Below are 24,602 nucleotides of genomic sequence, written 5' to 3' on the forward strand. Positions count from 1 at the left end.
TTTAATTTTTTAGTAGAGATTGGGGTCTTGCTATATTGCCCAGGCTGGTCTCAAACTCCTAGCCTCAAATGATCCTTCTGCCTTGTTAGGATTATAGGCGAGAGCCACCACGCTCGGTCTCAATTTATTTTTATGATAAATTATTGCACTTCTTTCTATCTATGTTAATAAACATGCCTTTAGGCACCTACATTAATCCAAAGGCTGAGTTTGAGAACCCTTGGACTAGAAGTTTCTTTCTGGTTTTCAAACTCTGCAGCACTTTTCCAACCAGAAATTGACTTTCAGATGCAGCGGTGCCCAACAAAGTGCACTTCATCCATTACAAACGCGTCTTTATCATCTAATTAAGCTGCTTAGGATTTAGTGAACAGAAAACCCATAACTGTGCTTTATTCCCGCATTCATTACGCAGATGCTGCCTGATACGCTTTTTGAAGCTGATTCACTGACTCTATATTTTCATTTCAAAAAAAAGGCTTTAGCCTTGTGGAAACTACATCAAAATAAAAACTCAGCTTAGCAATAGGCACAGAAACGTGAGACTTAAACTCCAATGAAATCAAAGATTGCAGTTAACACAGATATTTTCTTGGGAATTAAATGTTTACTCAAAAGCACAAAATTAACATGGAAGGGCATTATTATGTATTTATAATTGTGTTTATATGCATGTTTTTATCTCTGTTTTACTTGATGAAAATACAAATAACCAATATAAAATGTTATTTGGAAGCTACCTAGAGTACCAAGAAGAGAAGAGAGAATTTCCTTTTAAGGGAGAAAAAGCATCCATATTTAGGATGGTTTATGCTATACTGGAAGGGAAAACAAAAGATTCGTGAAACATATGATGGGAAATGTTTTATCATAAAAAGCAGTCTTTGTTCATTGAAATCAATTATGCTACTTTAAATCATTTCAAAAATATATCATTTGCATAATTAAGCTAGTAGTATAGACATCAGATAAACAGAGAGGTGACAGATGTATTTCAGAATTAAAGTAATCAGAAGCTAAAAAGTCATGTTAGAAATTTTCATAAACGTGTGTTTTCTTGTTACTCACAGAATACCTGACCAACGAATGCTGTCAAATGCATATACTCAATATTCATTCTTTTTTACAATTACAGCTTTATTGAACTATAACTGATGAACAATCAATTTTACATTCTGAAGTGTACAATTAGATGTTTGACATACACACACAAAACCAACAGCACAATAAAAATAATACATTTTTATATCAACCCCCAAAGTTTTTTTGTGCCCTTTGTATTTATCCTCCTTCAATTGCCCTGGTCCTCCACCCCACTCTGTCTCCAGACAGCCACTGATCTGCTTTCTGACATCATAGATTGGTTTGCATTTTCCAGAATTTTCTAGGAATTATTCCATATGTATTACTTTTAATGGCAAAACCCGCAATTACTTCTGCACCAACCTAATATTTTGTTGTTATTGTCTGGCTTATTTCACCAGCATAATTATTTTGAGATACAACCGTGCTATTGTGTTTATCAATACCTTTGTTCCTATTTTATTGCTGAGTCTATAGTAAGAATATTCCAAAATTTATTTAGGTATTTGCCTGTTGAACATTTGGGTTGTTTCCAGTTTTCAGCTATAAATAAATAGAACTGCCATTAACATTCATATACAAGTGTTTGGTGGACATGTGCTTTCATTTCTTTTGGGTAAATATTTAACAGTGGGATGGGTGGATTGTACGGTGGAAACAGGTTTAACTTTTTACTAAACTGTCAAACTCCATTTTCTAAAGTGGTTGCACCATTTCACATTCCTACCAGCAGGGTATGAGAGTTCTAGTTTCTCCATATCCCTGCCAACATTCATGGAATAAATTACAGCAATGTATATTTCTTGGTGTATATAGAATATCTTACCAACTAATGTTGTCAAATGCACACAGTCCCCTTTTATTTTTAATTCAGTGAGGCTCAAAAGGGTCCTATTTTAATTTGAAGAGTTTCTTTTTTGCAAACCAGCACCACAGATTTAGTGAGTGTGAGTATGGGAGTTGCATTAAGAGTGTGGGCTTTGAAATCAGATTGTCTGTCAAAATTCGAGTTCTGTTACTAATAACTGTCTCACCTCACTTTCCTCAGCTTTAAAACTCATTTAATAACAGTGTCTATCTTACAGGGTTTGGGAGAAGATAAATATTTTAATGCATGTAAGCCACCGTGCACTGGGCATATGGCAATTAATAAATGTTACATATAATGCAAATGAGCTATATATAGACCTTTGCAGTTACTAGGAAAAAAATAGTTCTTGAGCTCTCATCTTAGGGATTATGAGATTATTTGTAAAGTAATTTGATCTCAATTTTTACAAATAACTGTTTACTGACTTTAAATAATATATGTTCATTGCAGAGAATTTGGAAAGCAAGGTTTTGGCAACACATCAGGCTGAGCAGACATGGAGATATTCCTCCTGTTACAACGACATACAAATGGTGGATAAAAGAGAACAAAACGACTAGGTGCAGTGGCTCATGCCTGTAATCCCAGCACTTTGGGAGGCCGAGGCGGGCGGATCACGAGGTCAAGAGATCGAGACCATCCTGGCTAACATGGTGAAACCCCGTCTCTACTAAAACAAATACAAAAAATTAGCCTGGTGTGGTGGTGGGTGCCTGCAGTCCCAGCTACTCTGGAGGCTGAGGCAGGAGAATGGCGTGAACCCAGGAGGCAGAGCTTGCAGTGAGCCGAGATCACGCCACTGCACTGCAGCCTGGGTGACAGAGCGAGACTCCGTCTCAAAAAAAAAAAAAAAAAAAAAAAAAGAGAGAACAACTTTGAAAAATGCAGAGCTAAGCCCCCGCTAATGGTGAGCTAGGAGATTCTGATCAATATTCTTGTTGGGAACTATAAAAGCTGCACAAAATAGTAAAATCAAAACAGAAACATCAACTTAAGGCTTCAGATTGCTAAGAAGATAAAGAATTTCTGGGCCGTGATCTGGGGAGGATGAAACCCTGGTAAGCACCCCTTGTTTGGGATTGGGCCTTCAAGGACTGTGAGACGGAAGTGAGTGCTGGCAGCAGACAGGCTGTCATTAGAACTGAGCTCAGCTCCAAATCATGTCAGTGCTTATGCCTGTCTGAAGGGATATTGGATTGATATTAATCCTAAGGAGCTGGCAGAAGCAAACAAATCCTCTCCAGAGGAAGATAAGAACGCTTTAGACCCCAAATGGTTTCCATAAACAATTTCACAAAGACAACCATTGGCACCAACAAGTAATAAGCAGGCCAGGAGGGAGATACAGCAACATGAACAAAACACCACAGAAACAATAGACAGTGGAGACAGACTCAGAAGTTTCCTTACTGGTATTATCAGAGATGGCTTTAAAATATCTATGCTTGTTATGTCCAAGGAGAAACAAGACCAAGATGGAGAAAATCTGCAGAGAACTTGAAACTGTGAAATAGAAAAAAACAAATTAAATTCTACCTCCATGGGTGGGTTTAATAGTGGACCAGACACAACTGAAGAGAAAATTAGAGACTTACAAGAAAGTCAGAGAATAGGATTGAATAGACACAGATAAGACTTTGTCTGACACATTGCAGGCAAGGCCATGCCACGTACAGTGAAGGTTGTGCCCTGGAAGTGTCATTTGCACAGACTGTGAGAAAATAACCCTTGGAGTCGTGCAGCACCGTGGTCGTGGTCAAAGGCATGCAGTTAATGACCGCAGAAAATCACTTCCGCCCTCTCTTTCACAATTTACAGATCTGCTCATTCTTCATAATGCTAAAACTGCCTCTTGGGCTCTCTTCTGTCCCGAAACTGGAAGTTAGAATATGTAGAGATTATACTGCTCTCAGATATTCTTTGTTTATCCATTTAAAAAACTTCTTAGGGCCAATGCGTGAGCTGGAGAAGGATTTTTTTTTTAATTGAATGACTTTGTGTATTTATACATACAACCAAGTCAAGGGACCCTAGTGCTCGAATATCCTACAATGTGAGTGTAAGAAGCAGTGTGTCTCCCTCCAAAGCAAAGCAAAGCAAAGAGTGGCTGTCAATTAACGCAGACAGAAAATTTTAATTTTTTCTACCTCTCCATTATACAGGCCCTTTTCTCACTGTATTGAATCCTGAATTTATGAGTTTTTGTCCCCCTTTCCTTGTCTCTGTTTTTATGAATGTGAATAAAGAGCAGTGCAAAGTTAACAAACCCACAAACATTCACTCATTCAACAAATAGTTTTGAGCATTTCCTACCTGGGAGCCAGGCACTGTTCCACATATCAGGAAATACATTGAGAAACAGATCAGACAAGTTACTGTCCTCATGGACCTTCCATTTATGTGAAGGAGGTGGATGCTACCCAAAGAAAACAGCAAACACATAATATAACATCAGGGAAGGACACATATTGTTTTAGAGGTGTCCCAAGCTGTCTCTCCCTCACCAAGAGTCCTCTCTTCACTGTGAACCTGAATAAGCTATTTTAAACAGACTCTGTAAGCTCAAAAACAGGAAAAAGAAATTTCATTTCAGTTTTAGTTTATTGATTTTACCTAGCCCCCTGTCAGATTTCTCTGGCTTTTAAAAAATATAATTTTGCAGCTAATGCAGCTGGCAGTGAACGCAAAGCTACTGTTTGAAGGAATCTGAAAAATGCTGTTTGTGGAAGTGTGAGGGACTAACTAATATTTCCAGTGGCTTCCAAGGGAGTAGAATGTGTTAGGGAAGATGCCAGGAGGAATGGATGGGGAGCTATTCCAGAAGCTTCATGTGGAGCTGCCTCTGTTCTTTGAATTCTTCCCCATAGATTACGACACAATTAAAAATTCTGTTTCCATCCTCTTGCAACTTGTAAGAGGCCTGAGGGGACTCTTCTACAGGGCACTTTGAACATATATGGCAAGATAATTTATTGAAACATGAAAATTGCACATAAAATCTTCCTATGTTTTTTTTGTGCCCAATTTGATTTCAGGAAGGTAGTTGGGCTAGCAAGGCAGAAGCTGCCTAAGTGCATGGCTCTCAGGGTGTCCGTTGTAAAAGTCGCAGCTCACTGACGTGATCGCACAGAGTGAATGGGAGGCTGAGGGGCATGGGGGAGTTGGGAGAGGGAGGAGAGTTCTAGACATTGGGAAGGGGTGGGCCCTGTCTCTGGGCAGTGCCCTGGCATAGGTGGCAGCACCTCATAGTGCAATGGCAGCACCCAGGTAGGCCAAACCCTGTGAGAATTCTCTGACCCCTGCCACTGGGCTTGTGCCCAAGCAGGAAATGGAAGCTGCAGGACCAGCCCTTCTGGAGGCCCCACGGGTTTGGGCAATGGCTGTGTTAAGGCCCTTCTCCAATGCCTGGGTCATTTGTCAGACCCTGGCAATCATTGCACAACACTAGGGGGGGTACCCTAAGAATAATGGACTTAAATTTCCTACCTACTGGGGAAGCAAGAAGATCTAAAATGGAATTATTTTATTTAATATCATAAACAAGATAGTTTTTGCACTACTGATTTTATGCATGAATTCTTATTTGCATATTCATATCATTCACTCATCCATTCACTCAGGATAGAGTTAATCTATAATGGCTACATACCAGCCCCTACAACAGATGTCCTTGATTCAGAAATGACTAAGAGAAGGTTTCTTATCCTAAGTGAGAAACAGCCAAATTAACAAGTGTATCAGTTATCTAACGCTGTGTAACAAATGACACCAAAATGTAGTGGTTTTAAACAATAACCATTTAGAGCTCACAGTTTTGGAGGTTGATATTTTGGGGTTCTTTAGGTCTGTGTCATGCTCAGTTGCTATCAGCTGGACTTGCTTATGTGTCTGCAGTCAGCTGCCAGGGCAGGTGGGGATGGGGTCAGCTAGGAATTGGCTGTTCAAAAAATAACTCAGCTCCAACCACTGGATCTTGTTCCTACATGTTTCCTTATCAACAACAGGGCTGCCCTGGGCTTGATTCTCCAAGTTTGAAGAGCAGCAGAGGCAATCCAAATGGACAAACTAATTTCTCTCTCTCTTTTTTTTTTTTTTTTTTTGGTGGTGGAGTCTCGCTTTGTCACCCAGGCTGGAGTGCAGTGGCGTGATCTCGGCTCACTGCAAGCTCCGCCTCCTGGGTTCACGCCATTCTCCTGCCTCAGCCTCCAGAGTAGCTGGGACTGCAAGCACCCACAACCACGCCTGGCTAATTTTTTTTTGTATTTTTAGTAGAGACGGGGTTTCACTGTGTTAGCCAGGATGGTCTCCATCTCCTGACCTCGTGATCCGCCCGCCTCGGCCTCCCAAAGTGCCGGGATTATAGGCGTGAGCCACCTCGCCCGGCCAACAAACTCATTTCCAATCTCTGCTTGCCTAAGACTTACTATACTGTCCCAGTAGCCAAAGCAATCACGAGGCCAGCCGCAACTCAGGAGGGAGAGAAAGACTCCTGCTCTTGAAAAGAGTTGAACAGGGATATTAGAGGGAAGAGGATACAGGGCAAGAAGACTGTGTGGTCAATCTCGCAAACAATTACAAGAAGTGAATGAAATCAAAGGTGTTCTGAGATATAGCAAAGTATTATTTTAGTATAAGGGAGTAGAGAGTAGCAGATAGAAAATTGTACCTGGAGTAGGTTCAAGAAGGGCTTCCACCAGGAAGTGATGCTTGGCCCAGATTTGGAAATGCAAGTCGATGACGAGGACAGGGAAATGGCCTGGTGCATTCAGGAAGTGCCAAGAGTTCTCCTGAGGGTGCAGTGCAAGGTGAGGGGTGCCATGGGGGGGAAGAGCCCGAGGAGAAGGAGGGGCCACTGGGGAATTTCTCTGCATTTCTGACGAAGCCCAGATCTTCCCGGTTCTACTGTGATTCCAACCACTTGTCCCTGTTCTGCCTTCTGGAGTCACACGAATCACACCCCTCTCTTCTCTGGAGAGAGCATGCATTTTCCTCTATGTATTCAGCCTCTCCCTCCCACCACCTCAACATTATAAACCCTTCCTCAAAGGGTTCCCTGTTCCTGTTTTTGCTGCTTCCTGTTCTAAATGGCCTCCAAAACAGAAGCAGATCTGACTCAAGCAGAGCTCAGTGGGCTTTCCCCAAGTGTCTTCCTAACCCCTAGGACAGGTCAAGAACAGGGATGCTGAGCCCCAGTACTTTGTTGTGAGGCCGTGGTGCCATCAATGTCACAGTGGCCCCAAGGAAAAGCATGGGCGTGCTCATTGGACCTTCACAGTGACCCTTCCTGGGGTTCAGGGATGGGGATGGGGAGGTGGAGGGACAGTGGCCCTGGATCCATCCTTAAGGAACAGCAACTCAGGTGGCTGATCACACAGCCCCTTTCTCCACCAATGCCCATAAGGGCAGGTCTTGCGTGGGATTGCTATTCATTCACTTATTCAACAAATGCACACTGATACCTGCTCTGTGTTAGGCATCGCCGTACTGTCTGGGACTAAGGCATGAAGCAGACCTGATCTCTGCCCCAAAGTTCATTCCAGTCCTTTAAGAGGAAGGGACAGGTTTGTAAAGAAGCCTCCCCAGTGACCCTTGAGTGACATCATGACCACTTATCAGGCTCTGAATCCATAGGGCAAGGGACATCACCGCATCTGGGCACCCTCAGCAAGCTGTGACCTTCAGGGTTAACAACAGTGAGTGTTCTCATGGATGTGTCCTGTAGCAGCCACTGTCCTAGATGCTTTCCACGGGTCCACTGATGCAGCCTCTTACAACCCTGTGAGGTGGGTGGAGTCCTCCCCATTGTATGATGTGGGGAGGTAGCAGGGAGAGGACTCTTAGGGGTCCCAGACTTCCTGGGCAGCAGGGTGCTGTTGGGTGCTGATTAGAAGAAAACATAGGGGAAAATCTCCATGGCATTGGTCTGGGTAGTGATTTCTTGGATATGACCCCAAAAGCATAGGCAATGAAAGCAAAAAGAGAAAAGTGGGATTGCACCAAACTAAAAGCATATGTGTGCACAGTCAAGCAAGCAATCAACAGATTGTTTGGGAATGAGAGCAAGAGGAGTTTTAAAAAAATAAAGTAAAAAAAAAAAAAAAGAGCAAAGAGACAACCCACAAATTAGGAGAAAAAAATGGATAAAGGGCTAATATCCAAAATATACAAGAAACTCAAACAATTCAATTAAAAAACCCTATTTAAACATGAGCAAAAGACCTGAATAAACATTTCTGATAAGAAGACATTATAAAATGACCAACAGGTATATGAAGAAATGCTCAACATCTCTAATCATCAGAGAAATGCAAATCAAAACCCAATGAGATATCACCTCACATTTGTTTGATTGGCTATTGTTAAAAAGATGAAAATAGCAAGTGTTGGTGTGGATGGGAAGAAAAGAGAACCCTTGTGGATTGTATCTTTTTTATCCTTACTTAAAAATAAAACACATATATAAATAGACACATCTCTTTTATGCATACATAATACATATACATATATTCAAATAACTTCAGGTTTTGTTATTATTTTCACCCAGATTTACTCATCTTATATACTCTGCATCTTGATTTTATCCTTCAATAATAAATACTTTATGGGAGTTCTCTTACTCAACTTCTGTACCCCTATTTATTTCTAATGACTACCAACTTTTATTACATGATGTAGCTGTACTGTAGATTATTCCATTATCCTATTAGTATGACCATCAAAGGGCACTCATTTTATTTTTCCTTTTTTTGTCACATTAACAATACAATAGTAAACATCCTTGTGTATATTATAGCATTTATTTCTGTGAGATTGTTTCCCAGCAGTGAGATTTTCAGTTAAAAGAATGTTTTAAAATTTTAGAGCTATTTCAAGTTGCTTACCCTAAAAGGCTATAATAATGTCTGTTTCTAACTATTTCTAAGGATATCCTTTTCCCCACAATCCAGCCAACAATAGATGTAATTAATTTTTAAATTTTGGCAATTTCATGGATACTGTTGCTGAATATTTTCTTGACTACTGTGTTCAAATAACTTTGATTATGCTTCTTGGGCATTTGGATTTGCTTTGAATTGTCTGCTTAAGTTCCTTGCTCATTTTTCAAGTGCTTAATGTTTGTCTTCTTCATATAAAATAGAAATGATTATTAATCCTTTGTCATCTCCATTACAAAGAATTTGCCAAATCTATTGTGTATATCACATTTGACAAGCTTTTTTCATTTCCTCTTCAACAGTTTAAATGTTTTATAGATAATTCTGTTTTCTCATAGTTTCTGGATTTTCTCTTATAAAAATTATAGATTTTTAAGTCATTTGGTACAATAAAATTGCAGAGCAAAAGGGATAATCTATATATCTTACCCCATTTCCACTTTTGAGTGCTTAGTTGTAGGTTAGAGGGAATCCATTGATTTGGTATATTTGTCTTGTATCTAGCCACATTATTCAAATTTTCATTTTAGTTTTCTAAGTATGCCATTATATAATCACTAAACTTTTCAAAAAAATCTCTTAATGCTTAACAATTGGTATGCAAATTTTCTGGCTTATTAATTCATGAAGATTATGTTGAGAGATAAACATAACCACATGTTTAGTTCCAAATTTTATTTTAAAATGTTGAATACTTTGCAATTGATCCCATATCTCCTAAGTTTTGGGCTAATTTGTTATGTACCAGTAGATAACTAATTTATCTACTTATCTATTAACTAATGCACCAGTAGATAATACTAACCTTGCCAAACATGGTTAGCCTTATAGTACAAATTGGGGACCATTTTCTCTAATTTCTATTCTTTGATGAACTTTGTATAAGATTAAAATAATTTATTCTATGCATGTTTGGTGAAAACTGTCAGAGAATGGTATTGGCCTTTTCTTTTTGTTGTAGCAGATTTTTAACTGTTGCTCCATTTTGTTGAATGGTTAAAGGACTCTTCTGGTAATAATTAAGAAGGTTGTCTTGCTGACTTTAGCCTGCTATATCCCATCTTTAGATATTTTGTGGGTTGTTACTGTTAGCCCTATCCACACTAATTAACCAATCAATCAGAGGTTGGTAACCACTCCCGGTACCAAGTCAATTATTTCAGACTTACTCACTGGGAAGTAATGAATATAGGATATCAGAGCAGTTTTGTGTCTACAAACCTCCTTGAGTTCAGAATGTAGGAAAGATATATTTTGATTTTTTTCCAATTTACTTTTTACTTTTTAAATTATATTTTTATGTTTTCTCCTTTATTGTTTCAAATTTTGCTTTTCAGATTCAGGTCTTTAGTCCAGCTGGAATTAATCTTCCGCATGCTGTGGAAAACGTGAACAGTTGCATTTGTACATTTGAAGAAAATGCACTACCTGAGTGAACACTCAGGGAGGGCGGCGGCTGGGGCGGTTTCAGCAGTGGGGTCCTCGCGGGGTCCAAGGCCTGTCCCTGTGCCCAGTGCCAGCCCGGTGCGGGGCAGGACCGGAACTCATTCTCTAGCACCGCTGGCGACTGGCCCAGCCCTCCAGTACCACCGCCCCGTCCCCTCCCCAACCAGTTCCCGCGGGGACCAACAGGACAGAAGAAGCTGGCAGCTGCGGGGGGCAAGGCTGGGGACTCAGATTCCAGGTGTTTCAGGTTGTAGCTGCCCAGCCGGCAAGGTAGGCGCTGAGAGGTGCGGCAGACGGTGGAGAGTCGTCAAGCGTCGGGTATCACCCAGGAAGGGTGAGGGTGGCTCCGTGGCACACGTGCCCCGGATCAGCCCATGCAAGAAGCCCTCGGATTTTATGTCTGGAGTAGAAGGCAAAGCCACAGAGGCCACACCGCAATGTGGACCACTGCCTCCAGACTGCCTGCACGGTCCTCTGAGGAAACCTCCCAGGGCGCTCACCCATCGTTGGGGACACTATGACCGGGCAGCAGTGATCTCGAGGCTCCCAGAGCTGCTGCATGTCTAAGGGACAGTGTGGAGATGGGCCTGGCCGTCTGCTTGCCGCAATTCTTGCTGTAAGTGGCTCATCTAGCCAAGCTGGACTTTTTTGAGTGTTTTATTATCAGCCTAGCATTCTGGCAATGGCCACTCCAGGGAGAACAGGTTCTGGAAGCGTGTACCGCCAGCTGTTTTTGCCAGTGCCTGTCCAGGACAGCTCTTCCCAGCACCGAGAGCCACAGCTATCCTTTCACCTATCCTTTCCAATGACATAGCATCCTAGATCTTGCTTCTGCTCCATTGCCTTGTTTTCCTGACCCCATGTTATTTCTTCAGGCGGAATCCACGGGTTCTCCTTTGTCCCCACGTTATTTCTTCAGGCGGAATCCACGGGTTCTCCTTTGTCCCCACTGTCACCACTGCTCTGGATGCTCAGCCTGGAAGAGGCCCATGGAAGATGCTAGAAACTGGCCTATGTGCCAATAGCTGCCCAGGACCTTGGAGCTGGGGATTCTGTGGACCTGCACTTCTTAGAAGACTGCAGGGAACTCTGATGCTGATAAAGTAGGAGATGCCCTAATTTTCAGGAGTGCTTGTGAGCAGGTCTTCCATGGTGCTCCCCTACTGTGTATAGTCCATGGGGGACTTAGGAGGAAGGTGGAACTAAACTGCGAGGATTCCTGCAGCAAAGCCTGGTCTGGCCTAAGGAGTTTCAGTGTCTTCCACTATCATCTCCAGGTGTCAATAGACCATCAGAGGAAAGAGGAACTTGTCAAAATAAGTTCAAAACAGACTCTCCAGATTCGACATATGGGTTATGCATTGACAGAGGGAATGTCAACGTTAGCAATAAATGCCTGTTTGGAGGCTTAGTTGTTTAGGGGCCCTAAACAAAGCCCTAAACAAGACTTCTAGGAAGTGAAAGTAAAATTCGCTTCCTTTTTTTCTGCCAGCCTCCTTGGCCTCCAGCTTTCTCATGAAACACCTCCCAATAATGTGTATGCTCCTTTTAGTTGCTTGGGATAAAGATTCCCAGGAATACTGTTGCCTTCCCCTGCTGAGGACTTTCTCCACTGCTGGATGAGGGGAGGGTGGGAAAAGTCCTTCAGAGGTCGTCTGAGCTTCCAGACTGCACATTCAATGCACAGAGTGTCAGAGTCTCTTCAGTTTCCCAGCAGTTGGGGATAACTCTGGTGACTATGAGCCCTTGAGGGCTCTGAAACTTCTGGAAGCCAAAGACGTCCCCATCACAGCCCTCCTCTTGGATGTCTCCACATCAGGGCCTCAGGATGAGTGTTGTGGTCCTTCCCTCCTTCTTAGTAGGTTCTCTGTTAGGAATATGAAATAGGCACTGTGGGGTTGTGCCCTATGCCACATCTCAAATGGTCAAAGAGCTGTGTAAACCACACCTGTATAACTGGAAGCCATCAGGAACACAGTGCCAGAGGAATGCTGGGGAGGAGGGTGAGTGGATAAGGTGGAAAGGCAAGGTGTGAATGCAGCCAGGGACCAGTGTGACCTGAACCTGCAAAGTTGGCCTAAGTGGAAGCTCCTTAAACTTGTGGGTCCTGGCCCATTTCTCATTCTAAAGGAGAAAGTCTTTGCCCCGAACTTATTTGACTGGGTTGAAAGTGCCATTTGACTCATGATAGGAGGGAGCCTCTAAAGCCTCTCAGGTGGATGATGGGTGCCAGTCCTCATCCCATTCTTCCTGCAGGATGGAGTATCAGGCATTTCAGCTCCCTGGCTGATCTTAAGACTTGGATTTCACTGCACATGAGAGGTGTTCCCCTTGCAAACATCTCCTGGGTTTGTCTTCTCACAGCTGGCTGCCAGTTCCTGATTTTATTATCTAACTGAGAAACTGGACAAGAAGTGGAGTTTGGGGGCAATGGGGCCTGATTTCTGGGATCAGTTCCTGCTTCTTATGGAGAGTTAAAAAGAAGGCAGAATTTTCTGTATCCTTTTTCATGTGTGTCATGAAATCATCACAAAAGCTGTCTCAGATAAGAAGCTGATGGGAATTGCTTTGCTTTTCAATTCAACTTTGTCCTTGAGGCACTCTGCTGATGAAAATACATTCCACTCAAGGAAGCATTCTAATTCTCATCAAGATTATGCCGTTTGACTATATAAAGCACTGATCTTGTACTTAAATGGCAGGTTACCCTTCTGAGAAGGCCCATGGGAAGTTTATTCACAAATCTCCTAATGCTGCTATGGCTTAGATGTGCCTGAGAGGCTTCTCTGGAAATGGCCTTTAGAGCTGGCTTATGGGCTGTATGGGATTCAGCTTCATTTTCTTTTTTTTTTTTTTGGAAACACTCTCATTTGGGGCCTAAAATGTTATTCTCTAGTTTATTTGCCTAAATTCACACATCTCTCAGATATTTTCCAAAATCAATTCCATTCTCTAATAATGAGTTGCCATTGAGAGCGTATTCCAAAATGTTGCCCATAGGCTAGAAAAGCTTCCCGAAGGGCAGAGTCAGCACAGTGCTGTGCGGTGAGGGCTTTATTGGCATCAGCGTGGAGCTTTACAGCACAGCTACTTAGGTACCAATACTTACGTGGGGAGATTAAGTAGTTGGCTGTCCACAAACAGTCTGTTGCCTGACAGGCATAGTCCAAGGCCATTGAAACTTGAGGTGTTCTTTACTTATTGAGGATAAGCCTTGGAATTTAAGGCTTTGTACTACAAAGTGAATCCAAGGAAAAATTGTGTTTGTGTGTGAGTTCAGCGTGTGCATGTGAGGTCAACGTGCTGTTATGGAAGAGGACCTGAAAGCGTCAGGAGAGGAAAGAACAGAGAACTGAGAGGAAGAGTCCTGGGGGAAGGGCTTTATGGTAGAAAATGGGCCTGGGACACCAAGAAGGGGACAGAGCAACATGATGAGGAGATGGAGGTCTGTGGGGGCAGAGGACCATGAAGGGAAAGAGGCAGGGGAGGGGACCTCAAACCACGGATGCACCAAAAGCTGAGGTTGAGTGGTAAACAAAAACGAGATCATTTGGTGGATTTTCCACATAGAGCTAAAAACAGTTGGAGGACAGGGAGCTAAGGAGAGAATGCAAAGTGAGTGCCCTGGAGCCAGGATGGGAGGGGTCTCCTGAAGACCATCGCTTGCTACAGCAGTACTTGGATTCTTAGATGGGATGTTAAAACTCCTGGAGTCTGCCTAAGGACCAGGATCCTCTTATTCTACCCAATATAAAGAGTCATGTTTAACTTTTCACATTGCGCTTCCATTAGAAACCTGACCATCATGTCGGTCTCTTTACTCACACCCTGAATGCTGTAGCTGTCATGTATATTACATCTACATACACTGAAAACCCCACTTCACAATGTCATCATCTTTGCTTTCATCCATAATTCATACCTTTAAAAACTTAGAAGAATGTAAATCTATTCTATTCACCCCAGTAGTTACCATTTCTATGTCTCTTTAATTCTCAGTTTCCCCAGTTATCATTTCCCTTCTGTCTGAATAACTTCCTTCAGCATTCTGAAAGAGTAAGTCTGGTGGTGATGGATTCTCTTCATTTTTTTTTCATCTGAGAATATCATTTTCTGATTATTTCTGTGGGATATTTTGTCTAGGTATAGAATTCTGAGTTAACAGGTTTTTGTTTTTTTTTTTCTTTCAGCGTTTAAGAAACATGGTTTCGCTGCCTCTGGCAGCTGTGGCTTCTAATGATAAATCTGCTGTCATTTGAATGGTTGTTTCCCTATGAGAGAGAAATGTATCCTGTTTCTCTGGGTTTTCTCGTGGCATTTTTCTTTTATTTAATATTTGATAGATGGTTAGGATGTGTTTAGACATGGGTTTCTTTGAGTTTATTCTCTTTGGAAGTGGCTGAGCTTCTGAAATCTGTAAGCTTGTCTTTTACCAAATTTAGGAAATTTTCTTCAAAACATTTTAAAATACCACTGCATTTTCTCCTCTCCTGTGGGACTCTATTGAATGAATGTTAGACTTTTTATACTGGTGCTTAGGCCATTTAGGTCCTGTTCATTTTTAAAAATCATTTTTGCTTTCTGTTGTTTAGAATGGACAATTTCTATTGAACTAGCTTCGAGTTCAATTAATTTTTCCTCTGTCATCTTCATTCTGCTATCATCATGTGAAGTGGTGGGAGAGAGTGGACTGATGCAGCTCCAAGTTTAGAAATGCCAAGGATTGCTGGAAGCCTCCAGAAACTAGGAGAGAGGCAAGGAAGCAGTCTCCTCTAGAATCTTCAAAGGGAACATGGCTCAGCCAACACCTTAATTTTAGGTTCCTAGCCTATAGAACTGTGAGGGAATACATTTTTCTTGTTTTAAGCCACCAAGTTTATGGTAATTTGTATGGCAGCCCTAAGAAAACTGCATCAGTATTTACCCATATCTCCTGTTCTGGTCCCCAGGCATAATTTGGGTAAATATCAGATAACACAGCTGATAAAATACTGGTTCTACTAAGAGCAAAGAGGACTCTACAGTGAAGGAGCTGCAGGACCTGGTTAATGTGGCCAGCAAGACAGGAGAGTATGCTTAGGAATGGATCCTGAGCTCACTGATTCGGGAGAGGGCTGAATATAAAGTTGGGAATGGGAGATCTGTCACCACAGGAGAAATCTCTTGTAACACAGTGTTTGTGTCCATGGCAAAGACTCTAGAAACAATCCTACTATGCTGCCTGGATTCTTGGGAGGGAAGGGACTACATTCCTTAAGTGCAGATGCTAGAACTATTGTGGTCGACAGAGGAAGAGGAATTAAAAGTCTCAGTAAATGGGTATGGGGAATGGATCTTGTCTATAAGATCATTTCTTTGGAAGTCCTGAAGTCACTCCTTTTACCAGAACAGTGAGGATGGTCTCGATCTCCTGACCTCATGATCTGCCCGCCTCGGCCTCCCAAAGCTGTGAATTATTTTCTTATTCTACCATCAATGGGCAGTCATTTTATTATCTCTTGCTATTATTTTAAAAATAGTACTAAACATCCTTTGTATATGATAGCATTCATTTCTGTGGGAAATATTCCAAGGAGTGAGATTTCCCGCTCAAAGAATCCTTGAAAATTGTATAGCCATTGCCAAGTTGCTTCCCTTAAAGCTCTATAATAATGCCCATTTCCAACTATGTCTGACAGGATCCGTCTCCTCTACAGCCCAGCTAGCACCAGGGGTCACTGATTTTTAATTTTGCTAGTTTCACTGGCACTTTGATGGATAGTTTCTTTACTACCAGTTTTTTGAACAATGCTGATTATGTTTACTGGGCATTTGGATTTGCTCCCAATGATTAGCTTCATTTGTTTATTTTTCGACTGCCCAATTTTGCCCCTTTCGTATGAAATACAAAGTTATGTTGTTGTCATCTACATATAAAATAATCTTCCAATTCTATTGTTCATGTACTACATTGTTTTCCAAGCTTTTTTTCTCCACTTCAGTTGCTTAAATGTTTTATGGTCAATTACATCTGTCTTTTCTCTTATAGTTTCTGGGTTTCCTATCCAGGTTAAGAAAATATTCCTACATTTCCCTTCTAATTTTCTATTAAAATTGTTAATTCATTTTTTCTTTAATTCTGTAAATATATGTGGTACAGTGGTATTTTTTCCAGAATAATAATCAGTTGAGTCAGCATAATTTATGAAATAAATTACAATATTAAATTAAAAAAATAATTAGCCAGGCGTGGTGGTGGGTGCCTGTAGTCCCAGCTAATCGGGAGGCTGAGGCAGGAGAATGCCATGAACCTGGGAGGCGGAGCTTGCAGTGAGTGGAGATGTGCCACTGCACTCCAGCCTGGGTGACACAGCGAGACTCTGTCTCAAAAAAAAAAAAAAAAGAAGAAAGAAAATAATTCATAGCACAGCCACATCATTCAATAGTATTTGGTAGTCATTAGAATGAAATAGAGCTACAGCAATTGAGCAACAAAAATCTCCTTGAATTAATAGTTAAGGAAAAAATCAAGATGCAGACTAGTATATATAAAATGTGCCCATTTGAGTAAAATTAACAAATACTTGAATATATTTGAATACCTATATGTATTTATATGTGCATAAAAGAGTAGATGCACATGTTTGTGTGTGTGTATGATTGTGCAAGCAAGGATAATAAGATAGACTGCTTACCAGATTATTGGTATGAATTATTGTGATTCACTTGTGGGACAGGGACATAAAGTGGAGAGTTAGATATGCATTTTCATTCTGTAGTTTATGTAAGTGTATATAAGGTATACTATATTTTTGTTATAGATGAAATTAATTTATGTTAAATGACTTAGATTAGAACAAAAAACACAGTGTTAGCACTATATCTACTGACTTAACAGGAAAGCATGGTAGTCAATTGAAAAAATGTGCAGAGCAATGTGGGTAGAGCGTGACCCAGTTTCCAAAAGAGCACAGCAAACAGCTGTACGTGTGTGCCTGTGACTATATATATGTGTGTGTCTGAGCAAAGAGAAATATATAGAAGGATATACAAGTGCTTTTTCACACTGGTACCTTCAAGGAGAGGTGCAATTTACATTTGAGGGGCAGTTCTGATTATAACTTTGTCTTTTTAAAGTTTTGTACTTTGCACATGTTTAAGTAGGGATATAAGAGTTTTCTAAGTTAAAAAAAAAGCACATATATATTTTTAATTTTGGATATGTTTTTTGAATAAGGATAAAAATATCTTTAAAGTTGGATTTAAAGATTTGAGCCACGGCATGAATACACCTACAGACTGCACAAAGTTAGCCTCGGAGAGGTCTTGCTTGCTATTTGGAGACAATGACCTCTTCTGGCCTCTATACCTATGAATGACCAAAAGAAATATGTAAAGGTTAATGCATTATTTTCCAAACAACTCTGGAGTGTACCTGTCTACTTGGAAGGAAGAAGGCTGGACATGATGTGCAACTCACTATGTAACCACTAGAAGATTCTAGAAGATTCTCTGATGTGCCACTCCCACCTTCCTCTCCTGACTGGTGTAAAGGAAAACCCAACCTGGTACATCCAAGGCTACTTTCCAGGACTGCATTTGGAGGACATTAACTGGAAAGATGCAGATTTTAAGGAAAAAGATTTTGGCCAAATCACTTTGGACAGTTGGAAAAACCCCAGCTTGTGCTCACCCTGGAGAGGCCAGACCTCTTCAACTTTGGTGCCTCTAAGAATCATAAAATTTCCTTCCTTATCATCTGGAAAATGCAAGCCTGGGCTTTTGCATTCAGATGTTGAAGGCTGCGTGGCCCTGTGCCCTGGGGTGGAGGCCTCTGAGAATGGAGGTAGTGCACATGAACTCGCTGGCCCTGCGTCCTTGTCTGTGAGCCCAGGGATCCCTATCTGGTCTCAGGGATCCTGGGGACTTCTCCATCCCTATTGTTCTCCCTCTTGTTTTGAAATCCCATGACATCTTTCATCTTTCCAGATGTCTATCATTGGCCTGCAAACATTTGGGGGAACCACTATGGGAGACAGAGTTCCTGCACACAGTGGTACAAGTGGTAGCAGTGCCTTATAACGAGCTACACTGAAAACATTATCATACATACTGGGACTTTTCTGGTTTGTAATGGAGGATCTTAAAGATAATTTCTTTCCTGTATTGCAACATTTGTTTAATGCCAAATTAATTTGCTTCTCTGGGACTTGGAAACAATCTAATTTCTCCTTAACATACATAATATGTAGTTCTCTGAGATGTGTCTATGAAAGTGATTTTCTTAGCACATTTAGTGTTAGCATTCAAACAGGAGAATTGCTCACCTTGCTTCAACCTCTTTATAGAGAAGGCATTCATAGGAAGAATTATGCTTACAGAATACTTCTTTGACTTTAAGACTCTGCCATGTGTCCATCTTTCTTGTGCTTTTTCTAAGTAACAGTTAAAAGTTAAAATGGCCTTGCTCTGAACAGAAACTCCCTCACATGTTCTTGTTAGATGGACCCCATCAGGGAAAAGGCAGAAAACAGACATCCGTATCTGAGAGCCTTTTGATGCCGCAAGCGCCAATGGCCCAGGTATAAAAACCTCCACCGAGTGGACCTGGGGGCTGGATATGTCAGCCTAAGGGTCTGTGCTAGTTTCTGGATATGAGAGTAGATTGGAGGTTCAGGATCAAAACAGATGAGAGCAGTTTGTGGATGGGACTGGGTAAATCTTGCAAGCAGAGACACAGTTGAAGAGGAACTCTTGGGAGGGGTGAGAGGACCAAATAAACAACAAGACACAGGGTGGTGCCAGGGGAGGGCAGCCCAGGTGCTGGCCAGAGAAGGTGTAGGGTGCAGACACTGGGCGGGGAAAGGGTGCAAAACTATGATAATAGCAGAAGCTCCGTTAATTAGAGCAGGAATTTAAAATCCGATTCTGAAGTGAGACTTGGCTGTGAGGGGTTGTGAAGCCCCAGGAAGAGGTGGGCAGGAAACAGAGGAGGAGAAGGGAAGATTCTGCAGCATGGGGGACTGGGGTCTGCCCAGCCCTCCTCCCCATCCAGGCTGGGGGCAGCTGCAGAACTCACTCTGTCAGTGTCGGGGGCCCGGGGTCAGTGTGAGCTCCCTCCAGCTCCCACTTCCATACCTACTGCTGTTATTTCCTTAATTCCTCAAGTGATATGTGAATTCTTTCTCATAAGTAATGAGGAACTGAAGGACAGGTCTCCCTACCCACCCGTTCTGGCTATGCTCTCTGTCCCACTTGCCCACTTCGTCCTTTCCATGGACATAAGGACCCAGGCTTAAACACCTGAGACAGTCATCTGCCCCTATTCAGAAAAGCCCTTCAGACTCACAGGAGAATTTTTTGGTTCTCCCATTCATTTATTCCTTCAGTTATTCCTTCCCATTACAAACTTTTGTTAATTGTCCACTAGACAACAGTGAGAACTTCCTCAGGGAAACCTCAGCCAGCCTCATCCTGCACTCCAAATCCTACATGTTCCTTTTCTGACGAGGTGTCCAGGGGACATCAGAGCCCTGCGGCCCAGCTCTGATCCCTGAGAGGCAGCTTCATCCCCTACCTTTCGGAGGAAGGCCTCTTCCTTCTGTGTTGCTGGCTCATCCTGTCCAGGTGGAGGAGAACCGATAGGGTGGTCTCTGAAGGATTTCTAAGCCTCCTTTCAGTTGTAGGTGTGCCCCAGCCTCTCTGGGATTGGGACTTTGCTTCGGCCCTGGGTTTCTGTGACTCAGTAGCTAGGGCCTGTCCTGCAGGAGATGTGGGACCCTCACCCTCTGAGAACTTCTGGGAGCTGAGTGAGCGCCAAGCTTCCAGAGCCCTGTGTGACATCATTGCTGACCTAGTCCAGTGGGGTGGGCCACGACGACAGGCACACCTGGCAACTGGTGATAGGTGCTTGGGGCAAGGGGAAAACGTGGGTGGGAAATTATATAATTCTTTACCAAAATGGACTTGAACCTTTCCTTGCTCCCATGGAGTTTCCATTTCTCAAGGAGAGATGCTGCAGGGAATGGGGACAGACTGTGGTGGGGTGTGGCTTCCCCCAAACCTCCCCCTGCCTCTGTTTGAAACTCTTCCCCCTAGTCTTAGTCACACAAGGTCCCCCTGAATCCCTTCAGGTCTCCACACCTGAGTCTCCTCACAGCTGGTCCCTGGACTGGAAAATTGTCCTCGCCCTCCCTCAGAGAACCTGGGGTGGAGCAGAGCTGCCTGCACCAGCTGCTGCCTGTGTCCCAACCCCACCCCAGGCCTGGGGGTCTGGGACCCCTAAGTGTCCTCTCCCTGCTCCCTCCCCACATCTTAAGATGGAGAGCACTCCGCCCACCTCGCAGGGTTGTAAGAGGCTTCACTGGTGGACCCGTGGAAAGCATCTAGGACAGTGGCTGCTATAGGACATGGTCATGCAAACACTCACTGTTGTTAACTCTGCAGGTCACAGCTTGCTGAGGGTGCCCAGATGTGGTGATGTCCCTGCCCTATGGATTCAGAGCCTGATAAGCCCTCATCATGTCACTCAAGGACCACAGGGGAGGCTCCTTTACAAACCTGTTCCTTCCTCTTAAATGACTGGAATGAACTTTGGGGCAGAGACCAGGTCTGCCTCATGCCTTAGTCCCACAGAGTAGGGCAGTGCCTGACACAGAGCAGGTATCCATGTGCATTTATTGAATAAGTGAATGAATAACAATCACACATAAGACCTGCCCTTATGGGCATTGGTGCAAAACAGGACTGTTTGATTAGATGCCTGAGTTGCCATCCCTCAAGTGTGGACCCAGCGCCACTGCCCTCCATACTTCCCCAGCCCCATCCCTGAACCCTTAGGAAGGATCAATGTGAAGCTCCAGCGAGCACTCCCATGCTTTTCCTTGGGGCTGCTGAGACAGTGACGGCATCATGGCCTCACAACCAAGTACTGGGGCTCAGCACCCTTGTTCTCAACCTGTCTTAGGGGTTAGGAAGACACTTGGGGAAAGCCCACTGAGCTCTGCTTGAGTCAGACTCTGTTTCTGTTTTGGAGGCCATTTAGAACAGGAAGCAGCAAAGTGTGGGAACATTTTGAGAAAAGGTTTATGATGTTGAGGTGGTGGGTGGGAGAAGCTGAATATATAGAGGAAAATACATGCTCTCTCCAGGGAAGAGAGGGGTGTGATTCGTGTGACTCCAGAGGGCAGGACAGGGACAAGTGGTTGGAATCACAATAGAACAGGGAAGATCTGGGCTTAGTTAGAAATGTAGAGAAATGCCCCAGTGGCCCCTCCTTCTCCTCGGGCTCTTCCCTCCCAAGGCACCCCTCACCTTGCACTGTGCCCTCTGGAGAACTCTTCTGGTTTCCTGGATATATCAGATCATTTCTTCCTTCCACAATTTTGTATTTCCAAATCTGGCTCAAGTATCATTTTCAGGCTAAAACTGTCTCTGACCCATCCCTGATGGAGCTTCCCACCCTGTGACGTGCACTCTTTTGTACCTACTACAACCCTTTGCCATAGCTTTGAACACACTGGGTTGCATTTACTAATTGTGGTGGATGCAACAATGGCCACACGTTCTTCCTCTTTCTGTATCCACACCCTTGTAATGTGACTCTGCTGTTCCTTGAAGAGTAGGAGTCTTTCTCCCTCCTTGGGTTGAGGCTGACCTTATGATTGCCTTCATCGCTGGGACAGTAGCAAGCCTGACGCAAGCAGAGACTTGAAAGGAGTTTATGCATGGGGTTGCAATGATGCTCTTCATACCCTGAGAATCCATGGGAACAAGCCCAGGGCAGCCCTCTGGTTGATAAGAGACCATGTAGAGACAGCATCCAGCTGTTGCAGCTGAGTTATTTTTTGAGCAGCCAGCCCTCAGCTGACCCAACCCCCAGCTGATCTGGCCGCTGACTGCAGACACATGAGCAAGTCCATCTGGAGCTGCAGAGCCTGGCCTAGAACAGAACTCCAGAATGCCAAGTTACATGATCATGAGCCCATTAAATGGTTGTTGTTTCAAGCCACTGCATTTCTGGGTCATTGGTTACATAGCAAAAGATACCTGATATACTTGTTAACTTGGCTGTTTCCCTCACTTGACTTTCAGGAACCTCTGCTTCATCATTTCTGTATCAACATTATCTGGTATAGGTTCTGACATATAGCTATTATTTAGTAAGCCTTTGTTGACTGAGTGGATAAATGACTGATATGTATATGTAGGTGTGAATCTGTGCATAAAACCACCTGCTCAAAAAACTACCTTCTTTATATATTTTAAATAAACTGAATTCAACTTCAGATCTCAGCTTCCCAAACTGATGGAAAATGTAAGCTTATTTATTCTTAGGTTACTCCCCACCCAGAGTTGTGCAGTGACTCCCAGGGTCTAATGAAAAACCCAGGCATTGGAGAAGAATCTCAACAAAGCCTTCCCCCCATCATGTGTGGTGTCTCTAGAAACATTGGTTGGCAGCTTCCATATCCTGCTTGAGCACAAGCACTGTGGCAGACCCAGGAGTCCCATGATAAGGCCGGGCTCCCCTAGGCACTTCTGTTTCCCTCCAGATGCTGCCACCTACTCCAGGGCACCTCCCAGAAACAGGGCCCACTCCTTCCTAATGTCTAGAACTCTCTCCTTCCCTTTCTCAACTCCCTATGCCCCTCTCAGCCTCTCGTTCACTTCGTGTAATGTCAGTGAGCTGAGGTTTTTACAACAGACACCCTGAAAGCCATGCACTTAGGCAGCTTGTGATCTGAGCCCAAAAATGAGGTGGGATAGGAAGAAAATATAGGAAGATTTTATATGAATTTAATGTTTTAATAAATTATCTTTTCATGTGTGTTCTAAGGGCCCTGCACAAGAATTCTCTCAGGCCTCTTACAAGTTGCAAGATGATGAAAAGAGAATTTTTATTTGTGTCATAATATACTGGGCAAGATGCAAAAAGCAGAGACAGCACTACAGGAAGGATACAATAGCAGTTGGGGAGAGGAATAACTTCCCATCAGTTCTTTGTGGCATCTTCATCAGCACACTCCACCTCCTTAAAAGTCACTGCAAGTATTACTGATTCCCTCACACCTCTTCAAAGAGCATCTCTCAAATTCCCACAAGCAGTAATTGCTTTGTGCTCCATTTGTGGCTGCATACATAATTATGCTTAAAAAAATACAAAAGCAAATAGGGTAGGAGGTTAACACAATAAAATGAAACTGAAATAAAATTTATTTTTCATATTTACTTGGTGTAATCTTTTCAAGGTGTCTACCCAGGTTTACAGCGAAGAGAGGACTCAGAGAAACACAGCTGTAAAATAATAGGTATCACTCCCTGGTTACATTATTTGCGTGTTGTATTGCTTGTATATCATCTGCCTCCTCCTCAAAAATGGAAGGTCCACAAGGACACGAATTTGTCCGCTGTGTTTCTCAACATATTCCTGGTGCATGGGACAGTGCCTAGCACCTAGGAAGAGCTCAAAAATATTTGGTGAATGAATTCATGAATGTTGATGAGTTTGTTAAATTTGTACTGCTCTCCTTATTTACATCAGTGAAAACAAAGATAAGGAAATAGAGACTATTACTCATATAACTGAGGATTAAATACAATGAGGAAAGAGCTTGTATAATAAAGTGACTGAAAAAAATAAAATTTTCTTCACTTGTCTGTGGAGAGAGATACTCTGCTTCTTGCTTGCACATTGTAGGATGTTTGAGCCGATATACCCTGGTCTGGTGGTGTGTATAAATGCACAAAGGCGTTTAATTAAAAAAATCCTGCTCCAATTCAAGCATTATCCTTCAGAAGTTTTTTAAATGAGTAAAAAGGAATATATGAGAGCAGCATAATCTCTACATTTTCTTTTTTCCAATTTTGTAAAAGAGGACAGCGAAGGAGGCAGTTTTAGCATTATGAAAAATGAGCAGATCTCTAAATTGTAAAAGAGAGGACAGATGTTGTGAGTTTCTGCTGTCATTGATTGAATGTCCATGACCAAGACCATGGTGTTCCACAACTCCAGGGGTTGCCATTTTCTCACAGGCTATGCAAATGACATTTCCTGAGTTGCACAGTGCATGGCCTTCACAATTCTATGGTCTGGCCCTACCCACAATATGTCAGACAAAGTCCTATGTGTGTATATTCAATCTTATTCTCAAAGCCACTGTTCAAAGTAAGGGTGATTAATTTTCTTTATTAGAGAACAGCAGGCTATGACTCTGACAGGTTAAATGGCTTGTTGAAGCCTGCAGACTACTCTTTGCAACCTGCCAAACTTTCATTTTGACATGGAG

The 24,602-nt window shown here is 42.6% G+C and overlaps 2 long non-coding RNA genes across 5 annotated transcripts in view; both read right to left on the reverse strand.

Annotated features, from left to right (window-relative positions):
• The window catches only part of LINC00927 (long intergenic non-protein coding RNA 927), a 78,738-nt gene extending 58,597 nt beyond the window's left edge, over nt 1-20,141 (reverse strand). Inside the window, exon 1 of the long non-coding RNA NR_033833.1 lies at nt 19,892-20,141. This is a non-coding gene — a long non-coding RNA (long intergenic non-protein coding RNA 927). The remainder of the gene's footprint in view (nt 1-19,891) is intronic.
• Nucleotides 20,142-23,188: 3,047 nt separating this feature from the next.
• The window catches only part of ARNT2-DT (ARNT2 divergent transcript), a 59,344-nt gene continuing 57,930 nt past the window's right edge, over nt 23,189-24,602 (reverse strand). For all 4 annotated transcript variants that reach the window (NR_184068.1, NR_184070.1, NR_184067.1 and 1 more), the window contains one exon: nt 23,189-23,463. This is a non-coding gene — a long non-coding RNA (ARNT2 divergent transcript). The remainder of the gene's footprint in view (nt 23,464-24,602) is intronic.

The sequence above is a fragment of the Homo sapiens genome, chromosome 15 (assembly GCF_000001405.40).
Source record: "Homo sapiens chromosome 15, GRCh38.p14 Primary Assembly".
NCBI classification, from domain to species: domain Eukaryota; kingdom Metazoa; phylum Chordata; class Mammalia; order Primates; family Hominidae; genus Homo; species Homo sapiens.